This window comes from Homo sapiens, chromosome 19 (genome assembly GCF_000001405.40).
Source record: "Homo sapiens chromosome 19, GRCh38.p14 Primary Assembly".
Taxonomy (NCBI): domain Eukaryota; kingdom Metazoa; phylum Chordata; class Mammalia; order Primates; family Hominidae; genus Homo; species Homo sapiens.
In genome coordinates, this window is record NC_000019.10 from 12,287,061 (window position 1) to 12,311,431 (window position 24,371).

Below are 24,371 nucleotides of genomic sequence, written 5' to 3' on the forward strand. Positions count from 1 at the left end.
TATATACACATATATGTATAAATTATATATATATATTCATGGAGTACCAGTGCAATTTTACTACATTGATATATTGCCTTGTAAAGTCAGGCCTTTCAGTGCATCCATCCCTGGAGCAACCCCCATTATCCACCAAATAACCTCCCTCATCCCCATGAGTCTTCACTGTCCACATATATACACATTCTTCTTTTTTTTTCCTTGAGACGGAATCTCGCTCTGTCACCCACTGCAGCCTCCGCCTCCTGGGTTCAAGGGATTCTCCTGCCTCAGCCTCCCGAGTAGCTGGGACTACAGGCATGTGCCACCACGCCTGGCTAATTTTTTGTATTTTTAGTAGAGATGGGGTTTCACCGCATTAGCCAGGATGGTCTTGATCTCCTGACCTCGTGATCCACCTGCCTCAGCCTCCCAAAGTGCTGGGATTACAAGCGTGAGACACCGTGCCTGTCCCTGTACACATTCTTTAACTACCACTTATAAATGAGAACAGGCAGTATTTGTCTTTCTGTGTCTGAGTTGTTTCACTTAAGATCATGGCCTCCCATTCCATCCATATTGTTGCAAAAGACACAATTTCATTATTTTTAATGTCTGAATAGTATTCCACTGTGTGAATATACCACATTTTCATTATTCAATCTTCTGTTGATGGACACTTAGGCTAATTTTGTATGTTTGCTATTGTGAATAGTCTGCAATAAACACATGAGTGCAGGGAACTTTTTGATGTAATGATTTCCACTCCTTTGGGTAGACACCCTGTAGTAGGAATGGCTTTTCAGCATTATATGGATGGTATGTTAATGGTAGTATTAACTAACTGGAAACTGAAGAGGCAAAATTATGCTTATGGGTGAATACATACTGAACCTATAATGAGTAACAATGACAAATTCAGAGTTATGGTTCTGACCCATGGTGTATTTTATCTAACATTACTTCTGACAGCAAATATGTAGCATTTGCTGAACACGAGCCAATTCTCCAAGAAAAACTGGTGTTCAATAATTCAATGCTGACACCACTTAACATTTCCACAGACCCCACAAATTGAGGGCTCAGTTCCACAACAGGGACCCTACTGCAGATGCCAAATGCAAGCCCTAGGGACCACCCTTTTAACCAAATGTGTATAAAACCAACAACTCTACTATCAGATTTAATAATTTGCTACAACAAGTTGAAGAACTCAGTTAAACAAGTTGCTTAAGGTTATCAGTTTGTTATAAAGTATATGTCAAGAATACCTAAATGGAAGACATATGTCAGCCCTCCAAGACATTTTAATTTGTGCAATTTCACTCTAATTAAACCAACTCACTGAATACAAAACCAAGCAGCTGATAAAGTTCAATTTTACAAAAGCCCTGTAATCCTGGTAATAAACATGATTTAAGAGGCCAGGCACAGTGGCTCACACCTATAATCCCAGCACTTTGGGAGGCTGAGGTAGGCAAATAATGAGGTCAGAAGTTTGAGACCAGCCTGGCCAACATGATGAAACCCCATCTCTACTAAAAATAGAAAAATTAGCCAGGCATAGTTGCACACGCCAGTAATCCCAGCTACTCAGGAGGCTGAGGCAGGAGAATAGCTTGAACCTAGGAGGCGAGGTTGGAGGGAGGCGGAGGTTGCAGTGAGCCAAGATCACACCATTGTACTCCAGCCTGGGACAAAGAGTGAGACTCCGTCTCAAAAAAAAAAAAAAATGTATATATATATATATATATATATATATATATGAAATCACCTGACCCCCACCACCATGCCCAGTTCTTTCTGTTCTGGACAAGTAGCCCAGTGCAAAGAAACATCCTTCACTGACATCAATTCTGGCTCCCGCCTTTTTAACCTGTAACAAGGCCCTCCAAATTCCCATTCTTTGTCTTATAAATAACTAGCTGAACAGTTTTGCCTCTACTGATTACTCTGAACAAAATGCTTCCAAAGGAAACTTGTGGCCAGGCCTGATGGCTCACGTCTCTAATTCCAGCACTTTGGGAGGCTGAAGTGGGTGGATCTCTTGAGCCCAGGAGTTCAAGACCAGCCTGGGCAACATGGTGAAACCCTGTCTCTACAAAAAATACAAAAATATTAGCTGGGCATGGGGTTGTATACCTGTAGTCTCAGCTACCCTGAAGGCTGAGATGGGACAATCCCCTCAGCCTGGGGAGGTCAAGGCTGCAGTGAGCTGTGATGGCCCCACTGCACTCTAGTCTGAGCAAGAGTGAAATTGTGTCTCAAAAAAACAAACAAACAAAAAAACAGAAAAGAAAGGAAACTATTTAAGTTTCTCTCTTTCTTCTAGGCCACTGATTTTTGACACACCCTCAGCCTAAGCCAAAACACAACCCCTCCTTCATGACTCATCCCATGAACAGGCTTGAGTCAGGGTAAAACACTCTGTGATCTAGAATCTGATTTTCACCCTCCATCCTGCCCTCTCCCTCTCATTTCCTTTGTAATGTTGGTTGCTCTTCACCTTGAAAACAACTTTCCACCTAAGCTTTAAGACGCTTTCAGATCTTATACTTAGTGCTCTTCTCCCTTATGTAGCGCTGTTTTAGAATAAACTCATTCTTTTTTTTTTTTTTTTTTTGAGATGGAGTCTTGTTCTGTCGCCCAGGCTGAAGTGCAGTGGCATGATCTCGGCTCACTGCAAGCTCCGCCTCCCCAGTTCACACCATTCTCCTGCCTCAGCCTCCCGAGTAGCACCCGCCAGCATGCCTGGCTAATTTTTTGTATTTTCAGTAGAGATGGGGTTTCACCATGTTAGCCAGGATGGTCACGATCTCCGGACCTTGCAATCCGCCTGCCTCGACCTCCCAAAGTGGTGGGATTACCGGCGTGAGCCACCGTGCCTGGCCTAGAATAAACTCATTTCTTAGCTAAATCCAGATTTATCTTACCTGAAGACTGTCTAGTGACAGCCCTACAATAACAAACACAACCTCAGACATGGCATCACCCCATCTGCCTCTGCCTGTGGATCCCCAGATTTCCAGTGCTCTGTAGCTTCTCTTAGTATAAAAGGCTCTTTGGCTGGGCGTGGTGGCTCACGCCTGTAATCCCAGCACTTTGGGAGGCCAAGGCGGGCAGATCACCTGAGGTCGGGAGTTCAAGACCAGCCTGACCAACATGGAGAAACCCCATCTCTACTAAAAATACAAAATTAGCTGGGCATGGTGGCACATGCCTATAATCCCAGCTACTCAGGAGGCTGAGGCAGGAGAATCACTTGAAACTGGGAGGCAGAGGTTGTGGTGAGCCAAGATCATGCCGTTGCAGTTGCACTCCAGCCTGGGCAACAAGAGTGAAACTCCGTCTTAAACAAAAAAAAAAAAAAGGCTCCTCCCAGGCCAGGCACAGTGGTTCACGCCTGTAATCCCAGCACTTTGGGAGGCCAAGGCCGGTGGATCACAAGGTCAGGAGTTGAGACCAGCCTGACCAACATGGTGAAACCCCATCGCTACTAAAAATACAAAAATTAGCTGGGCATGGTGGCACACGCCTGTAATCCCAGCTACTGAAGAGGCTGAGGCAGGAGAATCGCTTGAACCCGGAAGGCAGAGGTTGCAGTGAGCTGAGATCACAGCATTTCACTCCAGCCTGGGCAACAGAGTGAGACTCTACCTCAAATAAATAAATAAATAAATAAATAAAAATAAAAATAAATTTTAAAAAAAGCTCCTCCCATTGCTGGAGTGATTAGGCTGGGACACCTGCAGGGGAGGCTCCCCAGGAAGAACCAACTAAACTGGGCCCACAATGACCTCCCTTTGCAGGCTCAAAATTGGCCTCCACTTGGAGTCACTGGCCTCAAGCCTCTCCACCCCAGTCAAGGCCATTTGCTTACCCTTTCATGCCTTACGTGGATTTAAAACATAAAACAAACAAACAAAACTCCATGTGTGATGAATCTATCAAAATCACTCAAATTCAGTGTTTACAGGAGGGAAGGAAATTGTAAGTCACTTCTATTTTATAGCTCAACAAGAAAAGCACAAGTATCTATCCATCTCAGATAATAAACATCAGTTACTACTTCCATAATAATGAAGCCTTTAGTAAACAAAGGATATTTAAGTTCTTTAGCTATTGCAAAGTCCCACAGAATGTTGCATTAATCTGCCAAGTCCAGATAACAGGAACAGACCAGACTTATCCACTGTCCCAAGTTCTCCAGCCTAAAAAGAAGAGAAACTAAAGTTTTGATAAAGCTTTATAATTCAACCAAATACCTACCACACATTCTTGTGAAAATATATTCATTTTTCTGCAGCCAAAATGGAAGAGTTTTCCCAAATTTTTCCCTTGGTAGTATTTACACTGCTAAGCCCTGAAATTCCATTTGAAATCATCCAATAAAAGACCTGAGAAACCTATTACATGGTCTCTGGGGTAATAAAAGTAAATAAAAGTTTTTTAAAAATGCTCCAGCCTGGGCGACACGGTGAAACCCCATCTCTACCAAAAATACAAAAATTAGCCAGGTGTGGTGGCGCACGCCTGTAGTCGCAGCTACTTGGGATGCTGAGGTGGAAGGATCTCTTGAGCCCTGGAGGCAGAGGTTGCAGTAAGCTGAGATCGTACCACAGCACTCCTGGGTGATAGAGGGAGACCATGTCTCAAAAAAAAAAGAAAAAGGCTGCGTGCAGTGGCTCACACCTGTAATCCCAGAACTTTCATTGGCCGAGGCGGGAGGATCACCTGAGGTCAGGAGTTCAAGACCAGCCTGGCCAGCAAGGTGAAACCCTGTCTCTACTTAAAAATACAAAATTAGCCAGGCATGGTGGCATGTTCCTGTAATCCCAGCTATTCGGGAGGCTGAGGAAGGAGAATTGCTTGAACCTGGGAGGCAGAGGTTGCAGTGAACCAAGATAGTACCATTGCACTCCAGCCTGGGCAATATAGTGAAACTCCATCTCAGAAAAAAAAAAAAAAGAAAAGAAAAGAAAAAAAGTTTTTAAAAAATGGAATAGGGCCTGGGTCCAGTGGCTCATGCCTGTAATCCCAGCACTTTGGGAGGCCAAGGCAGGAGGATCACTTGAGCCCGGGACTTCAAGACCAGCCTGGCAACATGAGGAAACCCCATCACTACAAAATACTCAAAAATTAGTAGGGCATGGTGGGCATTCCCAGCTACTCCGGAGGCTGAGCCCAGGCAGTCTAGGCTGCCTAAGCTGCAGTGAGCCATGATGGTGCCACTACACTCCAGCCTGGGCAACAGAGGGAGACCCTGTCTTATAAAAAATAAAAATAATAAAAAAAAGGAATAGAAAACTACATATATATAATTTGTTTTCTGAATTCCAACTCTTTCTGGCCTCTTTAGAAACACTTTATCTTCTCTATAATCTCTAATGATAGGATGCCCTTTACAGTTAATAAAAAATTAAATTGGAAATAACTGAACAAATCTTTTCAGGGTAACTAACCCAGGGTGGGGCAGAACTGACTGGAACACAGACAAGTCTCACTCAACCGTCAGGTCAGGTCGTTCTATCACCTGGCACATCCGCCAGCCCCACGGTGCTCATTGAAGTGCTCAGCAACCACATTCCTAGGAGACACTGCCTTATGTCTTTTTCAGGCTCATGCAAAACCTCATTGGGTGGGTTTTTCAGTTTTTAGAAACAGTTTTCTAGCTTCACAGTCGGAGAGAGTCCAGAAGGCAGAAATCATTTGTCTTGTCCCCTGAATAACACCATCCAATTTTCTGATAAGCCATGCGTCACCAAGGAATGGAAACTAGGCTTGGGGAAAAAAATGTCAATGTCCCAGAGGTTAGGTTTTTTTTTTTTTTTTTTTTTTTTTGAGACAGAGTTTCCCTCTTGTCGCCCAGGCTGGAGTGCAATGGCATGATTGTGATTTCGGCTCACTGCAACCTCCACCTCCCAGGTTCAAGTGATTCTCCTGCCTCAGCCTCCCATGTAGCTGGGATTACAGGCACCTGCCACCATGCCCGGCTAATTTTTGTATTTTCAGTAGAGATGGGGTTTCACCATGTTGGCCAGGGTGGTCTTGAACCCCTGACCTCAGGTGATCCGCCCGCCTCGGCTTCCCAAAGTGCTGGGATTACAGGCGTGAGCCACCGCGCCCAGCCCAGGGGTTAGCTTTTTACAGGAATGATATACCAGAAGATTCCTCCCACCCCAGTGCATCCACCTGATCCTTTGGGAGGCCCCACTCCAACACCTCAGGCTGTCCTCTGGGAAGAGTGACCCAAGGGCCGATATCCACTAGGCCCTCCATGAGATTGGCAGCTTCCAGCATCTTAGGGTAGCCCCAGAAAGTTCCATAACACAGGGCCTGGAAAAGATACAGGGTGGGCTGAGGTCACATCACCCTGTAAAGGACATACTGAGAAGGCATCTGTGCCTAGGGGAGATAAAAGAGGCACAAAGGTTTGGTTTTTTTTACAGCAGTGTCAGGTGGTTATTCTCTTCTTCCTCACATGTGAAATGTTAAGGAAAACAAAATAAATCTGTTTAAAAAGAGCCATACATTGCTATCTGAAAACAAACGACAAAATTCTGTGTCTATTTGAAATATCGTCTTGCTGACAAAGGGTTCATAACGTTACTGGGAATTGAGGAGTGAAGTTAGCATATGGAAGGCTCTGGAAACCAAAAGATTTACTGTTAGCCCCAAGAGGAGTTAGGATGAAGGGACAGGTCTCAAAGACCCTGATGCCAATATCTTTGAAAGCCTCGGAGGAGAAATGGTCGCCCTTGGAAAGAAAGGACTGAAGAGCACAGAGACCACAGCTCCTCCCACACACAAACCCCACACACGAGTCTGGTTTGTGCCTAGTGACCCTCCCACCGTCACCGTGCAGCCTCCTCACCGGGCTCACAGGAACTGCGAGCCAGGCTGGAGGCGAGATTGCAGTTAGATATTAACCAGGTGCCCTCAGCCCCGCTGCTTCACAGGAAGCCGCCTCCCTGAGAGTCAGGTCACAGCAGACGCTGACCGCCGGCTTCCCCATTGGCCTGGGGATAAGATCTCTGAGAGTTGCTCAAGAGTCGTCTAAGTTCTTTCTCAGATCTTGAATTCCAGCGGAAAGGCTGGCGCCAAGCAGGCTGAAGACCCCACAAGGAAGCCCACTCAGCAGCAGAATGCGGTTTCTTCACCTCCAGTCCCAAGATTCACCCCTCACTTCTCCACCAACCAGCGACCCCACATCCCAACCACCCCCGTCCAGACCCCTAAACACCCCATCCTCAAACCTCTCACGGAGGCGGATCTAGGGTGTCCTCTCCTATTAAACCGTTTCTGCTGCAGCCCTCGGCGTCCGGGTGCAGTGACTTGGGCTGCGAACCTGTACTGGTTCCGCCGCACAATCTGGGGAGAAGCGGGGCTGAGGGCGCGGAGCTGCCCAGAGAGGGGCGCCGGGGCCGGGGCCGCAGTCGCAGCTCAGGGACGGGACAGGACGCCCGGGGTCCCGGCTGCCGGCCCAGCCCCACCCTGCGGCCAAACGGACCGAGGACCGAGGTGCGCAGGGGGCGCTCAGGTCCCAGACCCCAAAGACGCTGCGGCGAGGCCCGGGTCCCGCCACAGCCGGTTCCGACTGGTTCCGACCAGCCCTTCGCCCTGCCTCAGGACGCCGGGCCCCGCACACTCACCATTTCCCGGCTGTGCGGTGTCCCGGGTCCTCCCAACTCCCGTAGTCAGGGTAGGTCCCAGCGCGACAAAAGCCACCACAGATGTCCCAGGGCGTCTCTCAGTGACAGAATACGGAACAGAGGTCACCAGGGTGAAGAGGCCACTAGCTCCTGGAACGTCACACCCTCCTCTCTGCCTCGCGCCTGATTGACAATTCTCAGGAACCCGCCCACGACTTTGATTGGGTAGCCCTCCAGGTCCCGCCTCCTGGGCACTGAGTGACAGAAGAAGCGATCTCACAGTGCTGAGTGCAGCCGGATGAACAGGTTCCAGACCCGGCCCCTGGCAGGGCGGGCTTCCTCCCTGCGTTGTGACCCGACCCGTCCCGGGAAACGTTTGCCTTAAAGCGGAATTTCCTACCTGTACGCAGTGGGCCCTTTTTGCTTCTTCCTCCTGAACAATTGTGTGCAAGGAATCCCAGACTCACTGTCCAGTGGAGCCATCCCTTGGCCTCAGAGCAGGAGGGCAGCCGAGGCCACACAGGCCACACTGTAGCAGCGGGGGACAGGGGGTGGGTGGGTGGGGGGGTGGTGCTGATGTCCTCCAGGGACCAGGAATTTGGGATGAGGCTGTCGCCTGCAAGGTCAAGCCTTTCTTCCACTATAAGCGCTGGATGGGTTCTTTCTGCGCGCTACGCAAATAAAGACCACGGTATTGCAGTTAAAAAAAAAGTTTAATAAACACTAGGCCAGCTACGATACGTGAGAGACGGAGTTACTACTCAAATTATTCTCATCCAAGGTCCTCTGGTAGGGGTTTTTCAAGGGCAGTTTGGGAGAAAGGGTGGAGGTAGCTAGGCTTGCTACTGACTGGTTGGGGTGGGGATGAAATCACTGGGGATGGAATCTGTCCTCTTGGCAGTGCGTGGTGGCTCACCGCTGTAATCCCAATACTTTGGGAGGCCTAGGTGGGAGGATCGCTTGAGGCCAGTAGTTCAAGACCAGCCTGGACATAGAGTGAAACTCCGTCTCTATACTATAAGGGAGGAGACCACCCCTCATATTGTCTTATGCCCAATTTCTGCCTCCAAAGAAGAAGTAAAAACTAAAAGGCAGAAATGAAATCCACAGGCAGATAACCCGGCTTGTGCCCTGGGCTGGGTAGTTAAAAATCAACCTCTGACCTAACTGTGTTATCTATGATTCCAGACATTGTATGGAAAAGCACTGTGAAAATCCCTGTCCTGTTCTGTTCAGTTCTGGTTACCGGTGCATGCAGCCCCCAGTCACGTACCCACTGTTTGCTCCATCAATCACGACCCTCTCACGCGGACTCCTAGTTGTAAGCCCTTAAAAGGGACAAGAATTGCTCACTCGGGGAGCTCGGTTTTTGGAGACGTGAGTCCGCCGATGCTCCCAGCCCAGCTGAATAAAGCCCTTTCCTTCCACAACTCGGTGTCTGAGGGGTTCTTGTCTGCGGCTTGTACTGCTACATATTTAAAAAAGAAAAAAAGAGGCCGGGCCCGGTGGCTCACACCTGTAATCCCAGAACTTTGGGAGGCCCAGGCGGGCGGATCACCTGAGGTCGGGAGTTTGAGACCAGCCTGACCAACATGGAGAAAGCTCGTCTCTACTAAAAATACAAAATTAGCTGGGCGTGGTGGCACATGTCTGTAATCCCAGCTACCTGGGAGGCTAAGGCGGGAGAATCACTTGAACCCGGGAGGTGGAGGTTGCGGTGAGCTGAGATCGCGCCAAGCCGAGATCGTGCCTTTGCACTCCAGCCTGGGCAACAAGAGCGAAACTCCGTCTCAAAAAAAAACAAAAAAAAGACAAAAAAAAAAAAAACCTATCCTGTTATGCTGAATCACTTCTGGTTGGGGCCACAGGAGCAGAGTTGGCAGGTGCAGGTGGTGTCAGACATGCAAAAAAAAAACAAACAAACAAACAAAAACTGAAAATACGTCTACAAATGCTAATCTACAATAGTGGTGTTATCTGCAGAAATAGCTGGCAATCTATGTCTACACTTTAGCAGCATTCCGATTCCTTTCATCCCTCAGCCTGATGGCCATTCATTCGTTTTACAAAGGCAGTTGAGTTTTGGGGAAGGCTTATTATCATTTAAGCTATCTTCCAAAGTTAGCTGTGCCTAAGAGCCCAGGATTAAGGGAAAGAGAAGACAGAGGGTTGGCAGGGGCGGGGGGCGGGGCGGGGCAGAACGGGTGTTGGCTCAGATCTCTTCCACTGCCATAATTTTCTCACTGATATAATTTTTTTGCGATCTATTCATTTTCATCCCAGAAAATAAAAACACATCAACAATGAAATGAAATTGTTAAATGTGTGAAAAAACTGGAATTATAGGGCAGCATGGTTGTTTTTTTTTTGTTTTATTTTGTTGTTTTTGTTTTTGTTGTTGTTGTTTTTGAGATAGAGTCTCACTCTGTTGCCCAGGCTTGAGTGTAGTGGCGCGATCTCGGCCCACTGCAACCTCCGACTCCCAGGTTCAAGCGATTCTCCTGCCTCAGCCTCCCGAGTAGCTGAGACTACAGGTGCACACCACCATGCCCAGCTAATTTTTGTTTTTTTAGTAGAGATAGTGTTTCACCATGTTGGCCTGGCTGGTGTTGAACTCCTTACCTCAGGTTTATTTGCTTGCCTCTGCCTTCCAAAGTGCTGGGATTCCAGGCATGAGCCACCACACCTGGCCTGACAGCATGTATTCTATTAAAGGAATCAGAAGAGAAGAAAAGAAAAAATATCTCGTTCAGGGAAGTAAGCAGGAAACCCCCTTTCAGGAAGTTAAACAGATTCCCGAGCTTGAGAGCCAGACTCTTGACTCCTGAAATGGAGCCCCAGAGTGGATCAGCACCTGATGATGAGGGAGAGACATTGAAGGATTTAACTCTGGGAGCTCAACTTGCCCTCCTCTGCACAGTGTAGAAACACTCTTTCCTTCAAGACTTTAAATGTTAATGACTTAAAAGCTCCAATCGGAAGCCGAAACATTAGGGAATGAATTTGAAAACATGAGGGTTTCCCCATATTTCTATGAAGCAAAAGTAGAAAACCTAAAACCACCATGAACTGGAAGCTGGAACTAATGGCTAAAAAAGAAAGGAGTCAAACATCAGGTGTCATTCGATGAAATAAAATCTTTATTCAATTTGTAAAAATGGTAGTGTTTCCAGACAGGAAAAATGGGCATGTTTGGAAAATAAGGAAAAGAAATGATATCTGATTATAGCTAACAAATAAATGATACTCTTGCCTTCAAAAATCACACAAAGACACACACACACACACACACACACACAGAGAGAGAGAGAGAGAGAGAGAGAGAGAAAGAGAGATATCCTATCACCTAGCACTTTGGGAGGCCGAGGCAGGCGGATCACAAGTTCAGGAGTTGGAGATCAGCCTGGCCAGTATGGTGAAACTCCGTCTCTACTAAAAATACAAAAATTAGCTGGGCATGGTGGGGCGCGGTGGCTCACGCCTGTAATCCCAGCACTTTGGGAGGCCAAGGCGGGCAGATCACGAGGTCAGGAGATTGAGACCATCCTGGCCAACACGGGGAAACCCCATCTCTACTAAAAATACAAAAAAATTAGCCGGGCGTGGTGGCGGGCGCCTGTAGTCCCAGCTACTCGGGAGGCTGAGGCAGGAGAATGGCGTGAACCCAGGAAGCACAGCTTGCAGTGAGCTGAGATCATGCCACTGCACTCCAGCCTGGGTGACAGAGCGAGACTCCGTCTCAAAAAAAAAAAAAAAAAGAAATGCAGAGGATCAGGTCTTATCCATGACCTGCTTAATGAGAAGCTGGATTTGAAGGTCTGTAGTTTCCTGTGAAAGTTTGAGAAGTGCATCTGACAGTGATTAGTGATTCAGCCCAAAGGGTATTTCATACTCCTCACCGGTGAGATAATTGAATTCACAGAGTATCTGAGGTAGGGGAGATCCAGTGGGCTGTGAGGGGCTGGGGCTGGAACTGAAAGCAAAGACTGGCGAGACATCCCGAAGAAGACAATGTGGGCCGGGCGCGGTGGCTCACACCTGTAATCCCAGCACTTTGGAAGGCTGAGGTGGGTGGATCACAAGGTCAGGAGTTCGAGACCAGGCTGGCCAACATGGTGAAACCCCGTCTCTACTAAAAATACAAAAATTAGCTGGGCATGGTGGTGCGCACCTGTAGTCCCAGCTACTAGGGAGGCTGAGGCAGGAGAATCGCTTGTACCTGGGAGGTGGAGGTTGCACTCCAGCCTGGGTGACAGAGCGAGACTCCGTCTCAAAAAAAAAAAAAGAAAAGAAAAAAAAGAAGACAATGTGGATGAAAGCGAGGCCACTTTACCAACACTGGTATGGCCTGGCTCGCTGATCCTCACTATGGGAACGACCACTCATGATAACTGACCAGGAGTGTCTGTGGGCCATTGATCACCACACTCAGGCCCCAGAGCATGCGCACTCCAACCAATCCTCGCAACTTGGAATGAGAGAAAATAGGCACACAGAGAAGTGAGGAAATGGAGGCCCTGTTTGTTGAGCTGGGGAGGAATGGGATATGATGGAGGTGAAATGTTTCTGCTTTCCTTGAGGGCCAAAAGACATTATAGGCCATGTGAGACAGAGATGGGCCACACTGTTCAGTTTGGCAGGGATATTCAGTACCTGCCATACTGTCAGTGGAAAGTCACAACAAATACCAAAATGTCATCTTTCAAAGGATCCTTGCTTGCACAATTTTAAAACCAGGCCAGGGGTGGTGGCTCATGCCTGTAATCCCAGCACTTTGGGAGGCTGAGTCGGGTGGATCACCTGAGGTCAGGAGCTCCAGACCAGCCTGGCCAACGTGGTGAAACCCAGTCTCTACTAAAAGTACAAAAATTAGCTGGGCGTGGTGGCACACGCCTGAAGTCCCAGCTACTCAGGAGGCTGAGGCAGGAGAGTCGCTTGAACCTGGGAGGCAGAGGTTGCAGTGAGCCGAGATCATGCCACTGCACACAAGCCTGGGTGATAAAGAGAGACTCTGTCTCAAAAACAAAACAAAACAAAAAACCCGTATGAAAACTAAACCTGGCTGGGCGCGGTGGTTCATGCCTGTAATCCCAGCACTTTGGGAGGCCGAGGCGGACGGATCGCGAGGTCTGGAGATCGAGACCATCCTGGCTAACATGATGAAACCCCGTCTCTACTAAAAATACAAAAAATTAGCCAGGCATTGTGGCGGGTGCCTGTAGTCCCAGCTACTGGGGAGGCTGAGGCAGGAGAATGGCGTGAACCCGGGAGGTGGAGCTTGCAGTGAGCCAAGATCATGCCACTGCATTCCAGCCTGGGCGACACAGCAACACTCCGTCTCAAAAAAGAAAAAAAAAAATTCTGTCTGGCTGGACTCGGTGGCTCATGCCTGTAATCCTAGCACTTTGGGAGGTCTAGGTAGGCGGATCACCTGAGGTTAGGAGTTTGAGACCAGGCTGACCAACATGGAGAAACCTCGTCTCTACTAAAAATACAAAATTAGCCGGTCGTGGTGGCACATGCCTGTAATCCCAGCTACTCAGGAGGCTGAGGCAGGAGAATCGCTTGAACCTGGGAGGCGGAGGTTGTGGTGAGCCAAGATTGCACCATTGCACCATTGCACACCAGCCTGGGCAACAAGAGCGAAACTCTGTCTCAAAAAAAAAAAAAATCTGTCTATATTTTCAATAAGCAGGTAGTGTGACAGGTTAAGGAGGACAGAAAAAAATAAAAATGGATGCGGAACTTACCCATGATATCACAGCCTTACGCTGGAAGATGGTGGTTTCTTTTTCTTCTTTCTCTTTTTTTTTTTTTTTGAGACACGGTCTCATTCCCACACCTAGGCTGGAGTGCAGTGGTATGATCCTGGCTCACTGCGGCCTTGACCTCTGGAGCACAGGTGATCCTCCCACTTCAGCCTCCTGAGTAGCTGGGACTATAGGTGCCTGTCACCACACCCAGCTACTTTTTGTATTTTTTGTAGAGCCAGGGTTTTGCCACGTTACCCAGGCTGTCAGGCTGGTCTCAAACTCCTGGACTCAAGGGATCCACCCACCTCGGCCTCCCAAAGTGCTGGGATTACGGGCATGAACCACCACGCCTAGACTGGAAGATGGTTTCTTTTTTTTTTTTTTTTGAGATGGAGTCTCGCTCTGTCACCCAGGCTGGAGTGCAGTGGCGCGATCTCAGCTCACTGCACACTCCGCCTCCCAGGTTCACACCATTCTCCTGCCTCAGCCTCCCGAATAAAATAAAATAAAATAAAGTAAAATAAAATAAAATAAAATAAAATAAAATAAAATAAAATAAAATAAAATAAAATAAAATAAAATGAATAAAATAAAATAAAATACTGGAGGTCTCAGCACAACCCTGAGAAATCCACACCCTAGAAACAATGTGTGAATGTTAATGCCACCCTTACTACAACATGGAACTTTTTATTTTTCTTACTGGAAAATGGCTAAAAACAGTTTATTGGAGGACTTTATTTTTAAAGAGTTGGGGTCTCACTCTGTGGCCCAGGCTGGAGTGCAGTTGTGTGATCATACCTTACCGTAACCTGAAACTCCTGGGCTCAAGTGATTTTTCCCAACTCAGCCTCCCAAACAGCTGGAGGACTTTTATACAGGAGAATATAGATAGAAGTAAAGGAAACTCAGTTTGGTTTCATTTATATAATTTAACTTTTCCTAGGTTAAGAAAGCAATAAAGTCTATAAACCTTAAATGGATTTCCCTGAATATGAAAAGTGCAAGAAATAAATTCTACAAATGGAAAGACGTAGGAGTAATTGAAGTGGTACGAAGAAGTCTCCTTGAGAAGGTGACATTTAATGTGAGACCTGAAATGTATATTAGTGTAAAAACTCAGGGCACAGCCGGGGAGGGTGGCTCACACCTGTAATCCCAGCACTTTGAGATGCTGAGACAGGAGGATCACTGGAGGCCAGGAGTTTGAGACCACCCTGGGTAACATAGCAAAACAACTTCTCTACAAAATAATGAAAAAATTAGGTAGGCAAAGCAACACAAGCCTGGGCATGATAGTCACAGATCAGGAGGCTAACGTGGTTAGAATGTTTGCACCCAGAAGGTCAAGGCTGCAGGGAGCCATCATCAGGCCACTGCACTCCATCCTGGGCAACAGAGCCAGAAACGGTCTCAAAACAAAAACAAAAACAGTCAACCAAGAAGTCAATATCTGGCAACAGTGTCTTTCAAAAGTGAGGAAGAGGCAGGGCACGGTGGCTCACAGCTGTAATCCCGACACTTTGGGAGGCTGAGGCTGGCGGATCACCTGAGGTCAGGAGTTTGAAACCAGCCTGGCCACCATGGTGAAACCCCATCTCTACTAAAAATACAAAAATTAGGCAGGCATGGTGGCGCACACCTGTATTCTCAGCTACTCAGGGGGCTAAGGCAAGAGAATAGCTTGAACCCGGGAGGCAGGGGTTTCTGTGAGCCGAGATTACGCCACTGTACTTCAGCCTGGGCGACAAAGGGAGACTCCATTTCAGAAAAAAAAAAAAAAAAAAAAAAAACAGGAAGAAATTAAGAAATTTTCACATAAACAAAAACTGAAGTAGTTTTTTTTGTTGTTGTTTTTTTAAATTTTGTTTTGTTTTTTCAATCATTAGAGGTGTTCTGCATGAAATGCAAAGGGTGCCCTGGAGGGTGAAATTGAAGTACACTAGACAGTATTGGGAGGCCTTATGTGAAAATAAAAATCTCAGTAAAAACAAATACATGGACAATGATAAAAGCTAGTATTATTGTACAATAATTTTGAACTTCAGGTTTTGTTTTCTACATAACTTAAGAGCCTAATGTATATAAAATATATTTGTCTAAAAGTGAATATTATTTTAAGTTGGACTTGGAACTCCATATTTTTTATATAGTTTAAGAGACATGGCCAGGCATGGTAGCTCACGCCTGTAATCCCGGCACTTTGGGAGACCGAGGCAGGTGGATCACCTGAGGTCACGAGTTCGAGACCAGCCTGACCAATATGGTGAAACCCTGTCTGTACTAAAAATACAAAAATTAGCTGGGCGTGGTGGCAGGCGCCTGTAATCCCAGCTACTTGGGAGGCTGAGGCAGAAGAATTGCTTGAACCCGGGAGGCAGAGGTGGCAGTGAGCCGAGATTGTACCACTGCACTCCAGTCTGGATGACAGAGCAGGACTCCATCTCAAAAAAAGAAAAAAGGAACAAATGCATTAAAAATATCCTTTTTTTGACACACAAAGTAGAAGGATGCAAATTTATGACATCAACTTAAAAGAGGTGTGAATGAACCTATAATGGTGTAGCATTTTGGTATGTTATTGAAGTTAAATTGGCATCAATTTAGAGTGTTGTAACTTTAGGATAGTAAATGTAATCTCCATGGCAATTATAAACAATACAGCAAGAGCATATACACAAAACAAAATAAGAAGGAAATTTAAATGTTTCACTACAAAAAGCAACTAAAAGCAAAAGAACACAGTAATACAGGAAATGAGGGACAAAAAAGCTATAAGGAATACAGAAAACAAACAGCAGAATGCCGGAAGATCCTCCTTATCAGAAATTACTTTAAATGTTAATGCATTAAACTCTTCAATCAAAAGATAAGACATCTGACTTTTAATTTGAAAACATGAGGATTTCCCCATATTTTTATAAAGTGGAAGTACCAGATATAAAAGCATTATGAACTGGAAGCTGGAACCCACGGCTAAGAAGAAAGGAGCCAAACATCAGATGTCATTAGATGAAACAAAATCTTTAGTCAACTTGTAAAAACTGTAATGTTTTCTGCCGCGACATGTGGGCATGTTAGGAAAATAAGAAAAAAAAATGATGTCTGAGTATAACTAATGAATAAATGATACTATTTCCTTAGGGAACTACACACAGACACAGACACAGACACACACACACACACACACACACACACACACACACACACACACAAACACACACAGTCTAAGATCACAGGACATTGTTCCTTCCCTGAAAAATAAACTACTGCTCTGTAAGATGCTCCACTCCTCACTCCTCACATTAACTGCTCCTGGAATAATGTCATATTTTGTTGTTTGCAGATAGGCATTAAAAGAGGGTGTAGCGGGCTGGGCGCGGTGGCTCATGCCTGTAATCCAAGCACTTTGGGAGGCCGAGGAGGGCGGATCACGAGGTCAGGAGATCAAGACCATCCTGGCTAACATGGTGAAACTCTGTCTCTCTAAAAATACAAAAAATTAGCCGGGCATGGTGGTGGGCGCCTGTAGTCCCAGCTACTCGGGAGGCTGAGGCAGGAGAATGGCATGAACCCAGGAAGCGGAGCTTGCAGTGAGCCGAGATGGCGCCACTGCACTCCAGCCTGGGCAACAGAGCGAGACTCCATCTCAAAAAAAAAAAAAAGGCGGGTGTAGGGCCAGGCGCAGTGGCTCACCCCTGTAATCCCAGCACTTTGGGAGGCCAAGGTGGGTGGATCACGAGATCAAGAGATCGAGACATGGTGAAACCCCATCTCTACTAAAAATACAAAAATTACCTGGGCATGGTGGCGCATGCCTGTAGTCCCAGCTACTAGGGAGGCTAAGGCAGGAGAATTGCTTGAACCCGGGAGGCAGAGGCTGCAGTGAGCCGAGATTGCACCATTGCACTCCAGCCTGGCGACAGAGTGAGACTCCATCTCAGGCCGGGTGTGGTGGCTCATGCCTATAATCCCAGCACTTTGGGAGGCCAAGGCAGGCGGATCACGAGGTCAGGAGTTCAAGACCAGCCTGGCCAACATGGAGAAACCCCATCTCTACTAAAAATACAAAAATTTGCCGGGCATAGTGGTGCATACCTGTAATCCCAGCTACTCGGGAGGCTGAGGCAGGAGAATCGCTTGAACCCAGGAGGCGGAGGTTGCAGTGAGCCGAGATCGCGCCATGGCACTCAAGCCTGAGCAACAGAGCAAGACTCCATCTCAAAAAGAAAAAAAGAAAAAAAGAAAAAGAAGGGGGTGTAGTGTGTCGAACTAAGTGGGTGTCAGGGGTTCACTTACAGACTTTGTATGTTTTTACAAACTGCAGCAATTAAGTCGTCAATTACCGTGTTGATTTAAATACATATAAAAACTTTCAGACAAAAATAGACGTTCACATTACCATGATGAAAAAAGTCAGTAATGGTGATTCCTCTGTGAAACTAGAAAAGAAATCCAGTGGTTAAACTTGGCAGCTCCAAGGGTATCACTGCCCCCTAGGACAGTGGTCCCCAACCTTTTTGGTAGCAGGGAGCAGTTTCATGGAAGACAACTTTTCCACAGACTGCGGGGGAGGGGTGCGGTTTTGGGAGGATTCAGCTGCATTAAATCTATTGTGCACTTTATTTCTATTATTATTACATTGTAATATATGATGAAATAATTATACAACTCACCATAATGTAGAATCAGTGAGAGCCCTGAGCTTGTTTTCCTACAACTAGATGGTCTCATCTGGAGGTGACGGGAGACACTGACAGATCATCAGGCATTAGATTCTCATAAGGGGCGTGCAACCTAAATCCCTCACATGCACAGTTCACAACAGGGTTCGTGCTCCTATGAGAATCTAATGCTACTGCTGATGTGACAGGAGGCAGAGTTCCGGCAGTAACGTGAGTGGCCCAGTTCCTAACAGGCCATGGACCTATTACTGATCCGTTGCCCAGGGGTTAGGGACCCCTGCCCTAGGCAACATCTTGAAGATCTATTTGAAATACACTTCTTGACTTTTCTTTTTTCTTTTTGAGACAGAGTCTTGCTGTGCTGCCCAGGCTGGAGTGTAGTGGTGCGATCTCAGCTCATTGCACCCTCTGCCTCCTGGGTTCAAGAGATTCTCCCACCTCAGCCTCTTGAGTAGCTGGGATTACAGGCATGCGCCACCACACTGGCTAATTTTTTGTATTTTTAGAAGAGATGAGGTTTTGCCACGTTGGCCAGGCTGGTCTCAAACTCCTGGCCTCAAGCGATCTGCCCGCCTCAGCCTCCCAAAGTGCTGGGACTACAGGTATGAGGCACCGTGCCCAGCCTGAAATACATTTCAATACAAGTTATTCCCCTGAATAAAGAATCAGCTCTTATCAAAGCCTAAAGTGATCAAATGCTTGCCAAAAGCTGCCGTTGATCCGGGTTTTTTTCTGTTTTTTTTTTTTTTTTTTTTTTTTTGAGAGAAGTCTCACTCTTATCCCCCAGGTTTGAGTGCAATGGCTCGATCTTGGCTCACTGCAACCTCTGCCTCCTGGGTTCAAATGATTCTCCTGCCTCTGCCTCCCAAGTAACTGGGATTAAGTCGCCTGCCACCACACCTGGCTAATTTTTGTATATTTTAGTAGAGATGGGGTTTCACCATGTTGGCCAGGCTGGTTTTGAACTCCTGACCACAAGTGATCTGCCCGCCTCGGCCTCACAAAATGCTGGGATTACAGGCATGAGCCACTGCGCCCGTCAATCCAGTTTTGTTTCATTCAAACTCTCTGTGGCCTGTGACATAGGTGACCACTCTCCCATCTTGAAATACCTTCTCCTGGAGGATTCCAGGAAGGGACACCCAATTCATTCTCCTCCTAAGTCACTGGCCTGCCCAGTCTCTTGCAGGCTGCTCCTCCTGCTAACCTCAGAGGTGGACAGCCATTGGTCTCCTCCTGAGCACTTGTCTTCTGCTACACTTTGCCCCTTACCCTGAAACAAGGTGGCTTCTGCTGGACCCAGGGCATCAAATAGCATCCATATGATAATGTTTTCCAAATTTCATTTAGATCTTTCTCTCAGGCTCCAGATCCAATACCCTGGTCAACACTTCGCTTGTTTGACTCAAACATGCCATGAGTGATTACAAAACATAACCCTTCATTTCCCCTCCAATCATCTCCCCTGGCCTTGGTCCTCTGAGTGAGGGGAAGCACCCAGGGGCTCTGAAAATAGGATTCATCCTTGCCTCTCTTCTCTCCTTCACTCCATCAGAAATCCTACGGGAGCTGCCCCTGCCTGTGTAACTCCTAGTCAACCTTCAGGAATTTTTTTTTGTTTTTTTTGAGACGAGTCTTGCTCTGTCGCCCAGGCTGGAGTCCAGTGGCGTGATCTCGGCTCACTGCAACCTCTGCCTCCCAGATTCAAGCAATTCTCCTGCCTCAGCCTCCCATGTAGCTGGGATTACAAGCATGTGCCACCATACCTGGCTAATTTTTGTGTTTTTTAGTAGAGGCAGAGTTTCACCATGTTGGCCAGGTTGGTCTAGTCTGGAATTCCTGACCTCAAGTGATCAGCCCACCTCAGCCTCCAAAAGTGTTGGAATTACAGGCGTAAGCCACTGCGCCTGGCCACCTTCAGGCTTTGAGAATTAGTCTCACTGGGGAAGCCTCCCTTAGTCTCTCAGACTAGTGTGAGAACCCTCTCCACCATCATATTTTAGAGCCACACACTCTTCTCTACTGCGCTGAAGACGATCACCACTGATCCTTTGTTTATGTCCAGAACTGCTAAACAGTGGGATTGATGGGGCCTTTCCCCACCCTGGAACCCGGCTCCAAAAACACAGCTTGGGTTCATAACTAGACTTCTCAATACACAACCTTCTGTCGATATCCACTAATATTACCCAAACCCACGCCAGCACAGCCTCTCTTCAAACTACAACTATGGCTTTTAAGCTGGTCTCCCAGGTCCCCTCTACCATCTATTCTCTGCCCACCAGCAGGAGTAAGCTTCTTCAAACACAAACCAAACATCACTTCTCTGCTCAAAATCCCATAAACGGCCGGGCGCGATGGCTCACGCCTATAATCCCAGCACTTTAGGAGGCCAAGGTTGGTGGATCACAAGGTCAGGAGTTTGAGACCAGCCTGGCCAATATGGTAAAACCCCGTCTCTACCAAAAATACAAAAATTAGCTGGGCATGGTGGCAGGCACCTGTAGTCCCAGCTACTCGGGAAACTAAAGCAGGAGAATCACTTGAACCCGGGAGGCAGAGGTTGCAGTGAGCCGAGATCGTGCCATTGTACTCCAGCCTGGACGACAGAGCAAGACTCTGTCTCAAAAAAAAAAAAAAACTATAAAAGTGTAACCTATCTTTAAAAGCGTAACTTATCCTATAAAAGTGTAACTTTACTGCCTATCTAACCACGTCTTTTATTACCTGAGCACTCTATGTTCCATGGACCAACACGATGACACGTGGGAGCGAGTTAGAAACGTGGACTCTCACACTCTGTCCCTAATCTGCTGAGCCAGAAGCTGAATTTGAGGATCTATAGTTCCCCGTGAAATTTCAGAAGTGCGTCTTACAAGTTTCCCCCTTAACCTGACCCAGCCATAAGGGTATTGCATATTCCTCACCACTAGGGTATTTGAATTAACAGAACATCTCAGGTGGGGGCAGCAAGGGGCTGGGGCTGGGGCTGGAACTGGGAGAGGAGACAAGTGAGACATCCTTAAGAAGATGATGTGGCGAGGGCGAGGCCGCCTTCCCAGCACTGCTATGTCCTGGCCCACTGCTCTTGAAGTGCAGGAATGGCCACTCACGGGAACTGATCAGGAGGATGCATGTGTGCTCAGCAATGTGCTGAGGCTGTAGCGCTTGCACATGGCCACCCATGTGCTCAGTCTGGGAGTTTGGTATTCAGGGAAGCGTGTGCACCAGCAGGCAGCAAAAGTATGTGGGTCCTCCTTGCCAGCCAGCCCATACTGCTCGGGGATGGGCTGAAAGTGATGGAGAAGAAGGGTTTTCTTTGCTCCAAGAGGCCAGTGGTAAAGTCACAACAAACACCAAAATGTCATGTTTCATAAGCTCTTTAGCTATACAGCAATTTTAAAACCATCTAAGAATTAAACATATTTCTGGGCACAGTGGCTCACACTTGCAATCCCAGCACTTTCAGAGGCTTAGGTTGGAGGATCGCTTGAGGCCAGGAGCTAGAGGCCAGCTTGGGCAACAAAGTGAGGCCCCCATCTCTAAAAAAAAAAAAAAAAAAAAATATATATATATATATATATATATACACACACACACATATATATACACATATATATGTATGTGTATATATATATGTATATATATATGTATGTGTGTGTATATATATATACACGTATATATATATTAGCAAGGCGTGGCAGGGTGTGCCTCTAGTTCCAGTTACTTGGGAGGCTGAGGCAAGAGGATGCCCTGAGCCCAGGTTCGAGGTTACAGTGAGCTATGATCATGCCACTGTACTCTATCCTGGTGAGACAAAATGAGACCCTATCTCTAAACAGAAAAATAAAAGAAGAGGCAATTAAACCTAAGTGTCTATTAGAAATACACTTCAATGCTGGGCACGGTGGCTCACGCCTGTAATCCCAACAGTTTGGGAGGCCGAAGCGGGTGGATCACCCGAGGTCACGAGTTTAAGACCAGCCTGGCCAACATGGTGAAATCTTGTCTCTACTAAAAATACAAAAATGAGCTGGGCATGGTGGCGGGCACCTGTAATCCCAGCTACTCAGGAGGCTGAGGCAGGAGAATCGCTTGAACCCGGGAGGCAGAGGTTTCAGTGAGCCGAGATCACGCCACTGCCCTCCAGCCTGGGCAACAGAGTGAGACTCTGTCTCAAAAAAAAAAGAAAAGAAAAAGAAAGAAATATACTTCAAGCAACTCAAGAATCCCAGAGAATACAAAATGGAAAGAAATTTTATTAACTGCTTCTATTAAGAAAACACTATTCGACTTATGAACCTTTATGTGAAGAAAACTTGCAAAAATATCTCACATCAATTTTTGTATGAAAGTAAGAAGTAGGATTCATAGTGTAGATTCATGTTAAGAATGAGGCACTGGTAAAGAGAAAGAGAATAGAGTTATACGTTTTCATTTCTTTCCTATTGCAAATTCTCTGGAGCATTATACATGTCTTAATTTTAATCAGATTTTCCTAAATTACTTACATTTATAGCATTTCTAGACAGCAGGGGTTGGGATGAAGAAACTTCAATCCAGCAAAGTTTGTATATATACATTCATGGAGGTGACATTTAAGTCATTTCATTAGGAAACTCTTTATTTTTTATTTTTTATTTTTTTGAGACGGAGTGTTGCTCTGTCACCCAGGCTAGAGTGCAGTGGCACTATCTCGGCTCACCACAATCTCCGCCTCCCGAGTTCAAGCAATTCTCCTGCCTCAGTCTCCCGAGTAACCTCCTGAGTACAGGCACCCGCTACTCCGCCCGGCTAATTTTTGTATTTTTAGTAGAGACGGGGTTTCACCATGTTGGCCAGGCTGGTCTCGAACTCCTGACCTCGTGATCTACCCACCTCGGCCTCCCAAAGTGCTGAGATTACAGGCGTTAGCCACTGTGCCTGGCCCATTAGGAAACTCTTAAAGTTGTCTGCAGATAGATACTGCACATGGAATTAGTCCTAGTCCTTGGAAAGTTATATGATTTTAATTCAATAGTGTATATTACTGTGAATACCGTATATGTTTCATCTCTAAGCAGGAAATTGAATCCATTAACAGTGTTAATAGTTTTGGGTTTTTTTTTTTTTTTTAGACAGGGTCTCACTCTGTCACTCAGGCTAGAGTGCAGTGGTGCAATCTTGGCTCACTGCAGCATCGACTTCCCAGGCTCAAGCAATCCTTCCATCTCAGCCTCCTGAGTAGCTGGGACTACAGGAACACACCACCAGACCTGGGTAATTTTTTGTATTTTTTGTAGAGATGAGGTTTCGCCATGTTGCCCAGGCTGGTCTCGAACTCCTGGGCTCAAGCGATCCATCCACCTCAGCCTCCCAAAGTGCTGGGATGACAGGCATGAGCCACCACACCTGGCCAACAGTGTTAATAGTTTTCCAGTTGTTTTGTCTTTAGTTTCCCAAGCAATGAATGCTATTATGGTCAAACATCATACTTGCTTCTTCCATCCCTTTCAACATATTGATCATTGCTTTTTTTTTGATATTAAGTAATAGAGGTTATTGTAATAAGTGATTGGAGTGAAACAGACATATTTGCTTTTGCTAGGTTCTGTTCCTCCTTTCACTGGGAAGCCCCTCACCCAGTCCCTCATCATGCTCTGCTCCAAAACACACCTTAACCAGAATCCAACAATGTTCATGTTCAAAATGAAAGACAAAACAAATATTTTCCTAGGCTTAAAAATATGAACATTGAGAGAATTTTTCCTGGCACACCAGCCCTACAAGACCAAAGTTGCCAGGTGCGGTGGCTCGCGTCTGTAATCTCAGCACTTTGGGAGGCCGAGGCTGGTGGATCACTAGAGGTCAGGAGTTTGAGAGCAGCCTGGCAAACATGGCAAAACCCTGTCTCTACAAAAAAAAAAAAAAATACAAAAATTAGCTGGGTGTGGTGGCACACGCCTGTAGTCCCAGCTACTTGGGGGGCTGAGGCAGGACAATCATTTGAACCCGGCAGGTGGAGGTTGCAGTGGCCAAGATAGAGCCACTGCACTCCAGCCTGGGACAATAGAGGAAGACTCCATCTCAAAAAAAAAAAAATTATTGAGTCTGTCAAAATCCACAGGAAAAAGCAGAGAGCACCATGCAAGACTATATAAGTGGAAAAGACAAACTGAATATGTGTTTCTTCACCTTTCTCCTTGTTATGGATTTACAAGTCAATTGTGTAAAGTAATAAGTAGTAATGGATTGTTAGGCCTACAACATAGAAAAATTTAACATACATGTATTATATTTATAAATAACACCATAAAAACTGA

The 24,371-nt window shown here is 46.4% G+C and overlaps 1 protein-coding gene across 10 annotated transcripts in view, besides 5 other annotated features; it reads right to left on the reverse strand.

Annotated features, from left to right (window-relative positions):
- ZNF44 (zinc finger protein 44) overlaps positions 1 to 7,823 on the reverse strand; it is a 70,198-nt gene extending 62,375 nt beyond the window's left edge. For 3 of the 10 annotated variants that reach the window (XM_047438922.1, NM_001164276.2, NM_001353553.2), the window contains exons 1-2: positions 7,632 to 7,823; positions 6,172 to 6,315 (exon numbers count right to left, since the gene is read on the reverse strand). In XM_047438922.1, coding sequence (XP_047294878.1) covers positions 6,172 to 6,315; positions 7,632 to 7,634 — 147 coding nt within the window. In that variant the 5' untranslated portion in view covers positions 7,635 to 7,823. Of the gene's footprint in view, positions 1 to 4,159; positions 4,191 to 6,171; positions 6,316 to 7,235; positions 7,553 to 7,631 lie in introns of those variants that run through there. The other 7 variants (XM_047438924.1, NM_016264.4, NM_001353552.2 and 4 more) reach the window with 5 other exon arrangements.
- Positions 2,213 to 2,302: an enhancer, noted in NCBI's record as "active region_14047". NCBI's record gives its function as "activates an Ori minimal core promoter by ATAC-STARR-seq in GM12878 lymphoblastoid cells {active_cell/tissue: GM12878}" and the evidence as "EXISTENCE:reporter gene assay evidence [ECO:0000049][PMID:35858748]".
- Positions 2,213 to 2,481: a biological region, named in NCBI's record as "MPRA-validated peak3363 silencer".
- Positions 2,281 to 2,481: a silencer, noted in NCBI's record as "peak3363 fragment used in MPRA reporter construct". NCBI's record gives its function as "represses an SCP1 promoter by STARR-seq MPRAs in K562 erythroleukemia cells {active_cell/tissue: K562}" and the evidence as "EXISTENCE:reporter gene assay evidence [ECO:0000049][PMID:32103011]".
- Positions 7,378 to 7,607: a silencer, noted in NCBI's record as "silent region_10146". NCBI's record gives its function as "represses an Ori minimal core promoter by ATAC-STARR-seq in GM12878 lymphoblastoid cells {active_cell/tissue: GM12878}" and the evidence as "EXISTENCE:reporter gene assay evidence [ECO:0000049][PMID:35858748]".
- Positions 8,158 to 8,207: an enhancer, noted in NCBI's record as "active region_14048". NCBI's record gives its function as "activates an Ori minimal core promoter by ATAC-STARR-seq in GM12878 lymphoblastoid cells {active_cell/tissue: GM12878}" and the evidence as "EXISTENCE:reporter gene assay evidence [ECO:0000049][PMID:35858748]".